This window comes from Homo sapiens, chromosome 1, assembly GCF_000001405.40.
Source record: "Homo sapiens chromosome 1, GRCh38.p14 Primary Assembly".
NCBI classification, from domain to species: domain Eukaryota; kingdom Metazoa; phylum Chordata; class Mammalia; order Primates; family Hominidae; genus Homo; species Homo sapiens.
The window spans coordinates 116,381,321-116,392,147 of NC_000001.11; the positions used below are offsets into that span (position 1 = coordinate 116,381,321).

At 39.9% G+C, this 10,827-nt stretch overlaps 1 protein-coding gene across 3 annotated transcripts in view, besides 1 other annotated feature; it reads left to right on the forward strand.

The window, feature by feature from the left end:
* ATP1A1 (ATPase Na+/K+ transporting subunit alpha 1) overlaps positions 1 to 10,827 on the forward strand; it is a 31,531-nt gene that overhangs the window by 8,077 nt on the left and 12,627 nt on the right. For 2 of the 3 annotated variants that reach the window (NM_000701.8, NM_001160233.2), the window contains exons 2-10: positions 2,694 to 2,804; positions 3,463 to 3,522; positions 5,968 to 6,171; positions 6,811 to 6,924; positions 7,318 to 7,452; positions 7,582 to 7,699; positions 8,119 to 8,387; positions 8,893 to 9,091; positions 9,462 to 9,571. In NM_000701.8, coding sequence (NP_000692.2) covers positions 2,694 to 2,804; positions 3,463 to 3,522; positions 5,968 to 6,171; positions 6,811 to 6,924; positions 7,318 to 7,452; positions 7,582 to 7,699; positions 8,119 to 8,387; positions 8,893 to 9,091; positions 9,462 to 9,571 — 1,320 coding nt within the window. Of the gene's footprint in view, positions 1 to 2,049; positions 2,234 to 2,693; positions 2,805 to 3,462; positions 3,523 to 5,967; positions 6,172 to 6,810; positions 6,925 to 7,317; positions 7,453 to 7,581; positions 7,700 to 8,118; positions 8,388 to 8,892; positions 9,092 to 9,461; positions 9,572 to 10,827 lie in introns of those variants that run through there. The other variant, NM_001160234.2, reaches the window with a different exon arrangement.
* Positions 8,906 to 8,965: an enhancer, noted in NCBI's record as "active region_1561". NCBI's record gives its function as "activates an Ori minimal core promoter by ATAC-STARR-seq in GM12878 lymphoblastoid cells {active_cell/tissue: GM12878}" and the evidence as "EXISTENCE:reporter gene assay evidence [ECO:0000049][PMID:35858748]".

Consider the following 10,827-nt stretch of genomic DNA (forward strand, 5'->3'; position numbering starts at 1 on the left):
GAATTTTGCAGCTTTGAGACTGAGGTAATTGAGACTGATAGGGATTTAAGGATATTTGGTTCCCACAAGAATAAGCTAATATTAAGTTATTATTTTACTTGTGGAGAAGAACTAAATTGTATAAGCTGCCTGGTTCTTCTAGACACACATTGCCTAGTGAAAAAATTAAAATTTTGAAGAAAAAGCAGTTTTACTTGTTAATACTTGCCATGTGTCTCACCCACAAATAGCCTCATTTAAAACTTTGCCTTACCTAGCATGAATGGATAAAGAAAAAGGAGAGTTATTAGGGAATCTAAATTCCCAACTAACTTTAGCACTGATAGTGGTGAAGCTATGGGCAAGACATTTATTTTGTAAGTGGGGGTAAAACTTTGGAACGTGTTCAAAGCCTAGCTGCTCTAGTAATCCTCTCTCCTCTTCTGGAGTGGAAGATATTGGAAGTCTGAGAATAAGCAAAGCATGCAGATTATGAAGCTGAGGGGTTATAACTATTTCATTTATTGAAATATATTTCAATGATATTCAACTTGCTCAGAGAGAATCCGTGAGCTGTATTTTAAAAATCAATACAGGCTGGGCACGGTGGCTCACGCCTGTAATCCCAGCACTTTGGGAGGCCGAGGTGGGTGGATCATGAGGTAAGGAGTTCAAGACCAGCCTGGCCAAGATGGTGAAACCCCGTCTCTACTAAAAATACAAAAATTAGCCAGGCGTGGTGGCGAGCGCCTATAATCCCAGCTACTCAGGAGGCTGAAGCAGGGAATTGCTTGAACCCTTGGGCGGAGGTTGCAGTGAGCTTAGATTGCGCCACTGCACTCCAGCCTGGGCGACAGAGTGAGACTCCATCCCCAAAAAAAAGAAAATTAATACAAAGTGGTCACATAAATCTTTTAGAGATCCTTAGTCAATGTCTTTAAAATGTTTTTTAAGTGTTGTGCTTTCTCATTAAAGGTATGATATACCTTTAATTAAAGCTAAAGATATACCACTTTAGCTGTGGTTCCTTTCTGGTAGATGACCTGCCTTTTCCTTTTTGTTTTATTTGTCCACTTGTATGTGTTACTATTTTTCATTTAAACTCTGGCACCAAGAGCTGTACCGAAAGAGGCACCAACAAATGTGGTTGCTCCATAATGGAGAGAATGTCAAGAATGTTGACTATCTTTAGACCTGCTTCATTAATAGATAAGATAGAAACTAAAGAACCCACCCAGTTGGAAGAAGTTATTAGTCAAGTAGTGCTGCACACGTGACCACAGAAGTTAAAAAGGTAAATAATGTGTCTCTACATGTGGCCCACTCCAGTGAATTTGGAGAAGGATTTCTCCTTGGAGTCTTAAGAGGATATTTTTAAATTTAAGTGAACAATGTATTTTATTTGCAACTATTAGTTATGACTGAAACACACATAATACGTTTTGATTTTCTTTTTTCATTTCAGCACAGTGAAATTATAATCTGGACACGAGTTCCTAATTATTGCTTTAGTAGCTGGTAATGCACTTAGGAAAGTTAGAAATGAGTAAAGGAGAACCACAAAATAATAGTAATAGCACCATATGTCATGCATTTTAAGAAAATTGCTAATGTCTACTTTTTGGCCTTAAGTTGTAGTTGTGGGAGGCTGCTTCAGGGGGAGGTGTCTGGAACAAGGGGCTCTTCTGCTCCGCTAAGCTTTGGAGCACCAAGTTCAGGCTTTGTGTAGATAAGCTCAAGGATTTTTCAACAGGGGTGGGGGAGTGGAACAATCTAAATTTAAACTATAGAATCAACATTTTCTTTAAAAATTGTTCCAGTTTTCAAGAGGCGTAGGTGGATCCTGTGAATTATGTGATAATGCACACGCTTTTCCTACATCCTGCTTATGTCAAAACATTTCCAGAGACTTTCATTTTGGAGGTTTTATTTTCAGGCTACAGAATGGGCTGGGCGCTCCCTTTTTTATCTCTTATGCAAAGAATTTTAAGGAGTCTTAGGCTGACTTTTTAATATGGGAAGCTGGTAAAGGTCAGTGTTCTTATGTGAGCACTAAAGATATTTAAATTTGATATGTAATAATGTCTTTGCAAAGCAAAGAATATAAACAGTATAAAAGTACTAGCATTTAGATGTATTGTATCATTTAATCCTTAAAAACATGAAATGAGGTTGGCACTATTCTTTATCTCCACGCTGTGGAAGAGGAAATTGAAATGTAGAAGTTAGTAACTTGCCTAAGGATACACTGCTGGTAAGTGGTAAAGCCCAGGATTTTAACTCAAGGCTGTCTGATTGAGAATGCGGACTCATAAGCACAATATTGCACTCTAAGTTAATAATGTAAAGTTAGTTTCATTCTTTCAGTAGGGAAGATGGAAGGCTGCAGAATAGGGATTTTGATAGCAAAAATCTCCTCATTAACCCCAAAAGGAAGTGGCACTGGCAGGGCCATTCTGAAGCCTACCGGTAGCTTCAGTATTGTTCTTAATGCTCTTGGATGGAGAGAATGTATCTTGAGCCAATGTATTAATAGTAGATTGCTTTGCTTATGTAGTAGGCAATATATGGGTATACATTTTCCTGACTATTATCTTAATGACTATTCCAAATTATGACTACCTTAAAAACTACCAAAATCCCCTGCTCCAGAATTTTCAGTTTCAGATGAGGTTCATAATTCATGGCCTCACTTTTCCCACATTCTCCTACAGGTTGGACGTGATAAGTATGAGCCTGCAGCTGTTTCAGAACAAGGTGATAAAAAGGGCAAAAAGGGCAAAAAAGACAGGGACATGGATGAACTGAAGAAAGAAGTTTCTATGGTAAGTACTAGGAGGAATATTGTATTCCATCCTTATTAAAAATCCATGATTTTTAATCCCCCAGGCCTCACTGTATTCTTCAAAGAACTGCTATATATTAAAAGAGATCATAGCAGCTGTACAGATCTCATCTAGTCGTAGAGGTTAATGTTGAACATATACTTTTTAAAAGCTGTTAGAGGGTAGGAAAAGTTATTCAGTCACTCTGGCATAACCAGAGATAACAGAAGGAACTTAGGTTGATACCATGAGTCTTTGCTTTTCTCTGTATTATATCAAACATTGGGAAATTCAGCCTCTCCAGGCGATGGAAGCTTCCATAGACTTAACCTGTCTAGAATCGACCTGGTCATCAGAGAAGGCAGATAAGGTTTTACTAGATCCCTGAGAGCTGCTGGGTTTCTCTGAAGTGTTATGGCAAATAGTAATGGGCCACGGTCACTCAGCTTTAGCCATTCTCCAGTGAAGAGCTGTCAATGATAACTGTGTGGTTGCAAAGCCACAAAGCGATGGTGAAAATTGTACCAACTTATGCACTGAAGAAAACATCTGCACTTTGTTTAATAAGCTTAATGATAGTAATGAATAATGCTATTTTTTCTGTCATTTTTTTATACTACACTGTTTAACTATTTTCTTTGTTTCTGTTTTCCCTTAGGATGATCATAAACTTAGCCTTGATGAACTTCATCGTAAATATGGAACAGACTTGAGCCGGGTATGTTCTAGTTTGAAAGCTGTTGTACAAAATCCTAGTTTTCCGTATTATATTTTCCCCTGTATTACATACAGGTCTAACCTCAGGGGCTCTAGTAAGAAAATGACAGACACCATCTGCGTATCTACCATGTGACATGCACAGAATTTGGGCATTTATATGCTACCGTTTCTTTTCCCTGAAACTTTTTGAAAGTAGATGTTATTTTCTTTTCCCTATTTTATAGCAGTTGAGAGCCAGTAAGTGGGAACACCAGGACTTGCAGTTGGCTTCAAAGCCATGCTTATGCCTTGACCTTTTGATGATAAATTTTCCCTTTATTTTTCTACATTTGTTAAATAGAGTTGAATCTTTCACCTAGTTGAATCTTCAACAATTCCCATTTTTGCACTTTTCCCAGCTAGCCCATTGCAGTGTGTTATGGTTATACTATCATTTGTTTAGTTATTCTATCATTTAGTTGGAAATTGTTTTGTACAAAAATTAAAGAAACCTTTTCATAAAATAGGCGTTATGTATCCTTGTTATGTAGAGGATTTTGATATTAAATGTGTAACAAATGTTATAAAAGTAAATAGTCTAGGGATGTCTTATTTCCAGATAATCACTGAAATGTCTGGGAATAACTTGAATAGCAAGCCAATATGTAGCATTTTTTCAGTAAGGCATCAAGAGACATGGGTACTGTGGTATTCTGATATATATTGGTTTTTGTCCACAGTTCCTGGTTCATAACTCCCATAGCCCTTATTACAGTCGTTTGTTATAATGTTGGGTGTGTTAGACCTCAGTGGCAGGCTTCAAGAAACAGGATCTCTCTCCTGCCCTCCTTTTCACCTGTCGCAAGGCAGGACTCTAATCTTGTTCCACTTTTCTGATTTTCCAGGTAGATAGTGTTGGAATTGAATTGGAGGAAACCTTGGTGGTGGGGAGAAACCGCCACACCTTTGCTCACAGAAGTCATCTTCTGTGTTGATTGTTGGGGTGTAAGAGTAGAGAAGAGGCCGGGTGCGGTGGCTCATGCCTGTAATCTCAGCACTTTGGGAGGCTGAGACTGGTGGATCACCTGAGGTCAGGAGTTCGACACCAGCCTGACCAACATGGAGAAACCCCGTCTCTACTAAAAATACAAAATTAGCCTGGCATGGTGGTGCATGCCTGTAATCCCAGCTACTCGGGAGGCTGAGGCAGGAGAACTGCTTAAACCTGGGAGGTGGAGGTTGCAGTGAGCCAAGGTTGTGCCATTGCACTCCAGCCTGGACAACAAGAGTGAAACTCCATCTCAAAAAAAAAAAAAAAAAAAAAAAAAAAAAAAGGAGAGAAGAACAAGGTTGAGAGCGTTTTTCTTGACACAAGCACTTTAAGCTCCAAGAGGAGGCCTCGAGTCAGCTCAGAACAACATGCCAACAGTGACTCTGTGCTTACTTTGTGCCAGGCAGTCTCTAGCCACTTCACATCTCACTTAAGTTTTTATTAGAGTCTTAATGAAGTGTGCTCTCTCCGACCTATGCCCATTACTCAAATGCTGCGGGTCTATTTCTTTACTTATAAAATGAGGTTAATAATGCCTAAAAAAGGATTGTCATGAGAATTAAACAAGTTAATTAAAGCACTGAATTCAGTTCCTGGCATGTAGATAGCACTCAAATGTTTGGTAACATGAGCACAAAACACAGATAAATAGATACTTTAGACAAAAATATTTTATTTTTTTTTTGACTTGTTATTTTGAGAGTATAAAAGTGATCATATTTTCCTCTCTTAATGAGAGCTTATATGTAATTGCCTGCTGTCAGTGAATCTTGGGTTTAAGGCCCATTAGAAAAATAGCAGGCTTTAGTAGAGTGGTTTTTTCCAGTGAGTACTTTTCAGTCAACAGGTTTATTGGGAGGTGGCTAAAATGCACATGGAGGTGAGCCCTTCCCTGCCAGACAAGCAAAGAATCAAGCTGTATATTTAAAACTTGGCTGTTAACCCAAAGGATTTCTACAGGAAGTTTTTTTCTCCTTTGATGTTTGTAGAGGGGTTTTTTTTCCCCTCCCGACAAAATCAATACACAGAAAACCCAAAGCTCTTAATTTGCAAAACTGAATGGATTTGTGAAAATAGATACCTTTTTGGCAGAAATGCAATTTGGCATTAATCCCTTGATCTAAAACTTAGAAGAAACCAGGCTGAATTCAAATTTATTGATGGATCAATTTAAAGAGTTTTAATCTGGGTGTTATGAGTTCCTTGGGCCTATTGTTTGCCTGAACCCTGTGGGGACTGGCTCATCAGCAGAATTATTCATGGAGGAATTTGCTAGGTTTTACCTTGGCTCTCTAGCTTGGGACATTTTGTTTCTTCCTTAAATCCTTATTGCAACCGTCCAGCTACCAGGTAGGTATATTGCCTTGTAAGTGCTGGTACAGTTTGCCTTATTTATATTCCACTGCTTCTCAGGGATTAACATCTGCTCGTGCAGCTGAGATCCTGGCGCGAGATGGTCCCAACGCCCTCACTCCCCCTCCCACTACTCCTGAATGGATCAAGTTTTGTCGGCAGCTCTTTGGGGGGTTCTCAATGTTACTGTGGATTGGAGCGATTCTTTGTTTCTTGGCTTATAGCATCCAAGCTGCTACAGAAGAGGAACCTCAAAACGATAATGTGAGTTCTGTAATTCAGCATATGGATTTGTAGTACACATCAGATATCTTCTCCGTCTTTGTCTCCCACTTCTTCTCAATTACCACTCATTACTTAATGGTTATGAACTCATTACTTAATGGTTATGAACAGCTGTTGCCTTCAAGGCTCATCCATTCTTCCTTCGTTTCCATTTCCTCTCTCTACCACCCACGTTGTAGATGCTCTTACAAGTGGGATGCCCACCTGCATGTGCTGCTGTGAGCAGGCAGCTCTGCTCAGGCCCCGGCCGCCACCCACTGGATGGCAGAGCACAGCGATTCATGTTGGCACATCCACCTGTCCAGAAATGCTTGGTGGCCATTCTTCAAAATCCACAAGTTGGTTGAAAAACAATCTTTGTTTTATAAAGCAGGAGAAACTGATGCATCTAGAACCTTTCCAAACGTCCAGTTAGTGATCAAGTGTTGGTGTGCCTGACTCCATTTCTGACCCTTCCTGTGTGGTCTTTAGAAGGATAAATAAGAAAACATGAGTTCTATATTTCTGAAATCTTGGTTTCTCTATTAAAAATCTGTTTTTTATTCAGTCAAAAAATTAATTGAATGTCCCTAATTATTGTGTAGAGCCACGGGCCCTAACTTGTCTTTTCCCTTCCAGCTGTACCTGGGTGTGGTGCTATCAGCCGTTGTAATCATAACTGGTTGCTTCTCCTACTATCAAGAAGCTAAAAGTTCAAAGATCATGGAATCCTTCAAAAACATGGTCCCTCAGGTACCAGACGCTTTGTCCTTCCCCAGTGGATGACTTGACAGCCCCAAGCATGTCAGCCTGTGAATTAGTGTGAAGTTAAGGTTTTCCAAGTATTACATGACTCATCAGAGAGATGGATGTCTTCTACCCCACCCAAAACCAACCTATTTTCCTTCTATCCAAAAAGTGGTAGCCTTTCTTTTGAATGTAAACTCTGAATACAGGCACACCATGTAACAGCAATATCTCTTAAACTGGCGAGCAAGCTTTTGTAACTTGTGTAAATAAAAAAGTGAATAATATCTTTGTTTTGTATTCAGGTAATTAGGATTATGACTATTTTTATTTTCTTGTTTTGGACACTACCTTCTCTTTGTTGGTATACTAACGGTGTAAATTGTTTCTTTTCCAAAGCAAGCCCTTGTGATTCGAAATGGTGAGAAAATGAGCATAAATGCGGAGGAAGTTGTGGTTGGGGATCTGGTGGAAGTAAAAGGAGGAGACCGAATTCCTGCTGACCTCAGAATCATATCTGCAAATGGCTGCAAGGTAGCTCTTTTATTTTAACAAACCTCATAGCTAGCTCTGCTGTTCGGGCAGCTTGATTTGAGGGGTACAGTAGCCCATGATAAGGCTGGTGTATTCACATGACATTTTTCTTCTTTTCCTCACATATAGGTGGATAACTCCTCGCTCACTGGTGAATCAGAACCCCAGACTAGGTCTCCAGATTTCACAAATGAAAACCCCCTGGAGACGAGGAACATTGCCTTCTTTTCAACCAATTGTGTTGAAGGTAGGCCATTTTTGGGCACTTTGAGCATGGCGTGGTATTTCTCTTGGGCATTAACAAAATCAAAACCATAGGCACAATCTCTTGTTTTATTGGCTCCATTTCTGAGAACTTGTGTCAAGCACAGAGCAGAGGTGTTTTCCTAGCTGGCAGGAAACCTTGTGGCAGTTTCCCTTCCCTCCACCTCCACCCTGCCTCTTCTGTCAACAACACCAGTCTGGCATGGGTGTTGGAGCTGCTGTCCTGCTACTGGAGAGAAGTCCCTTTGCCAAACAGCATGTACAGCCAAAGAGCTGGCCCTTAAAAAGTGCTTTTATCAACTCTTTTTGTTTTTTTAGTCATCCTATGTAATTGTGTAAAATCCGTGGCTTCCTTCAGGTTAGATACAATTAGGTACAGTTCTCCCTCCCCTTCTTTTTAAGGCACCGCACGTGGTATTGTTGTCTACACTGGGGATCGCACTGTGATGGGAAGAATTGCCACACTTGCTTCTGGGCTGGAAGGAGGCCAGACCCCCATTGCTGCAGAAATTGAACATTTTATCCACATCATCACGGGTGTGGCTGTGTTCCTGGGTGTGTCTTTCTTCATCCTTTCTCTCATCCTTGAGTACACCTGGCTTGAGGCTGTCATCTTCCTCATCGGTATCATCGTAGCCAATGTGCCGGAAGGTTTGCTGGCCACTGTCACGGTAAGAGGCAGGTGATGGTCACCCTGACTCAGATCAGCTTGCACGAATGTTACACTCTTCCGCTATCCTATTCTAAGGTATTGCCAACTTATGTTTTATTCTGGATGTTTGATATAGTTCTTCTTGAGAGCCACATCACGTGGTGAATTTTGACAGTGAGAAAACCTCAGCATTTGTTTATACGTAAGATAACCCCAAAGCATACATTTTGCTTTTAAATTATCACGTGGTCCTGAACAGTGCAGTGGAGAAAGGAGAAGAACTTGGGATCAAGTAGGGGGATAGAATATGGTAGAATCCTGTTATTATTTTTCTTAATAGATTGCTTTTCTGGAAGGAAGGGGAAGCCTCATGTATGGGTTCCCCTTATTATTTCTTCAAACTTCAGAAGAAGGTTGGAGAGATTTAATTTTAGACAAATTTCTTCCACATTAGGATATAGCAAGAATCTGTATAGAATTCCAGCCTGGTTGAGTGAAGTAATAATCTTCCTAATATTTTTTAGGTCTGTCTGACACTTACTGCCAAACGCATGGCAAGGAAAAACTGCTTAGTGAAGAACTTAGAAGCTGTGGAGACCTTGGGGTCCACGTCCACCATCTGCTCTGATAAAACTGGAACTCTGACTCAGAACCGGATGACAGTGGCCCACATGTGGTTTGACAATCAAATCCATGAAGCTGATACGACAGAGAATCAGAGTGGTAAGGCCAGGGTTACCACACACCTCAGCCACCTGCTGACTTCGCTTGGTTTTTTTTCTTTTAAGAAATTGCATGAAATTTCTTTTTTTTTTTTAAGCTCATGGCAGCTTTTTCTTTCTTTTTTGTTTTTTTTTTTTTTATCATTTAGTGAAGAGTCAAGGGTATGGGATATTGATTTTTTGCATGTCAGTAGAAACTTTAAATTGCCCTACAAACGTGACTGAAGAATGCCTAAAATGTGATTGGTTTCATTAATTGGGAAATGAGATGTATCACTGCAGATTTCTATGGGACTTTAATAGGAGAACTGAGAACACAGCCTTTGAAGTTAATGCATTGTTGTTCTGTTGTGTTTTCTTGCCTCCATCAGGTGTCTCTTTTGACAAGACTTCAGCTACCTGGCTTGCTCTGTCCAGAATTGCAGGTCTTTGTAACAGGGCAGTGTTTCAGGCTAACCAGGAAAACCTACCTATTCTTAAGGTATGCTCAAGAGTTAACTAATGGAGGGATGTAGACAGCACATGAGAACTGCCATTTGAGTGTTAAAAGTAGCAAATTACCTTTGTGGTCTGTGTGACTGTTCACTGTAGAACACCTGGAGTGGTCTGTGCAGTACTTTGCTGTGTGTAACTTACATTGTGTTGCCTGTAGATCCTGATGTATTATAGGACCCCCTGCTCCATATAGGTTGATTAAAAAGGGAAGATGCAGTAAAAATCTGACCAAAGTGGGAGGGGAGGAGACGGAAGACAGTCTTTATTGGTGAAAAACCTAATTCATCTGCTTTTACTACTCTTGAGTTTATATGTTATCACCTAACCTAGTGGACAGTGAGAGCTGAGGGCTGCAGTGACTCCATAATCGTATTTGCATATTAGGATACAGTAGATTCCAGTAACTCCTTTAAGCCATTTATTTTCCTGAAATAGCTCAGCTTATCTTATCTTATTGGTTCTTAGCTTGTTTACTAATGATGTAAAAATAAGCTCCAGGCCAAAATAAGCCCAGCCTTAGCCTGTGGAATTCTGATGCAGTTTGAAATGATTGAGATTTTACTATGCTGCCCAAGTGAAGATGCAGTCTCAGAAGGATCATGAATTGTACAAAGTCCTGTAGGAGAAGAAAGCTATGTGAGGCTCTCTGGGTCCCACATTCTCTGTGAAGCTGCCTGTAGTAGTTGTGGGTATAAACTAAGTTGCCAAAGGGAATATGGCTTGGATGTAACTCAGATGCCTTCTGTGATGAGGATAGGGTTCATTTATTCTGCAAAGGAGATTTTCTTGGCATTGAATTGATGTTGATTTGAGGATAATGTTGTGTATCTTGAGGATAAAACTTGAGATAAATGTTTCATGTTTTTCTTTACCTCAAAGTGGAAATGTTCTAGGCTTTGAGCATCAGGTCCCACAAGTATCAAATCTTTCCTGATTAAAAAACCCCAGAAAGGTAGCAGAAGCTGTATTCCAAGTATTTCTGGAGTTCGGCCATGTTGATGGCATTATTACTAAAAAGCGGGGAGGGAGAAGCAGCCCTATTCTGCTTTTATTAAAAATGGCTTTTATTAAAATAAGTGGCTTTTATTTAAAATGTCCCCCACTTATTTTGTGTTTCTTTCCAAACCCAGCCAACTTTCTTGCTCTGTGGAGCTGCTATACTTCTGAGCATTGATCTGTTCATCTGCATATGCAGCCTTACATGTTAAGGTTCTAAAAGGTTTACCTATATAAAATTTGTTT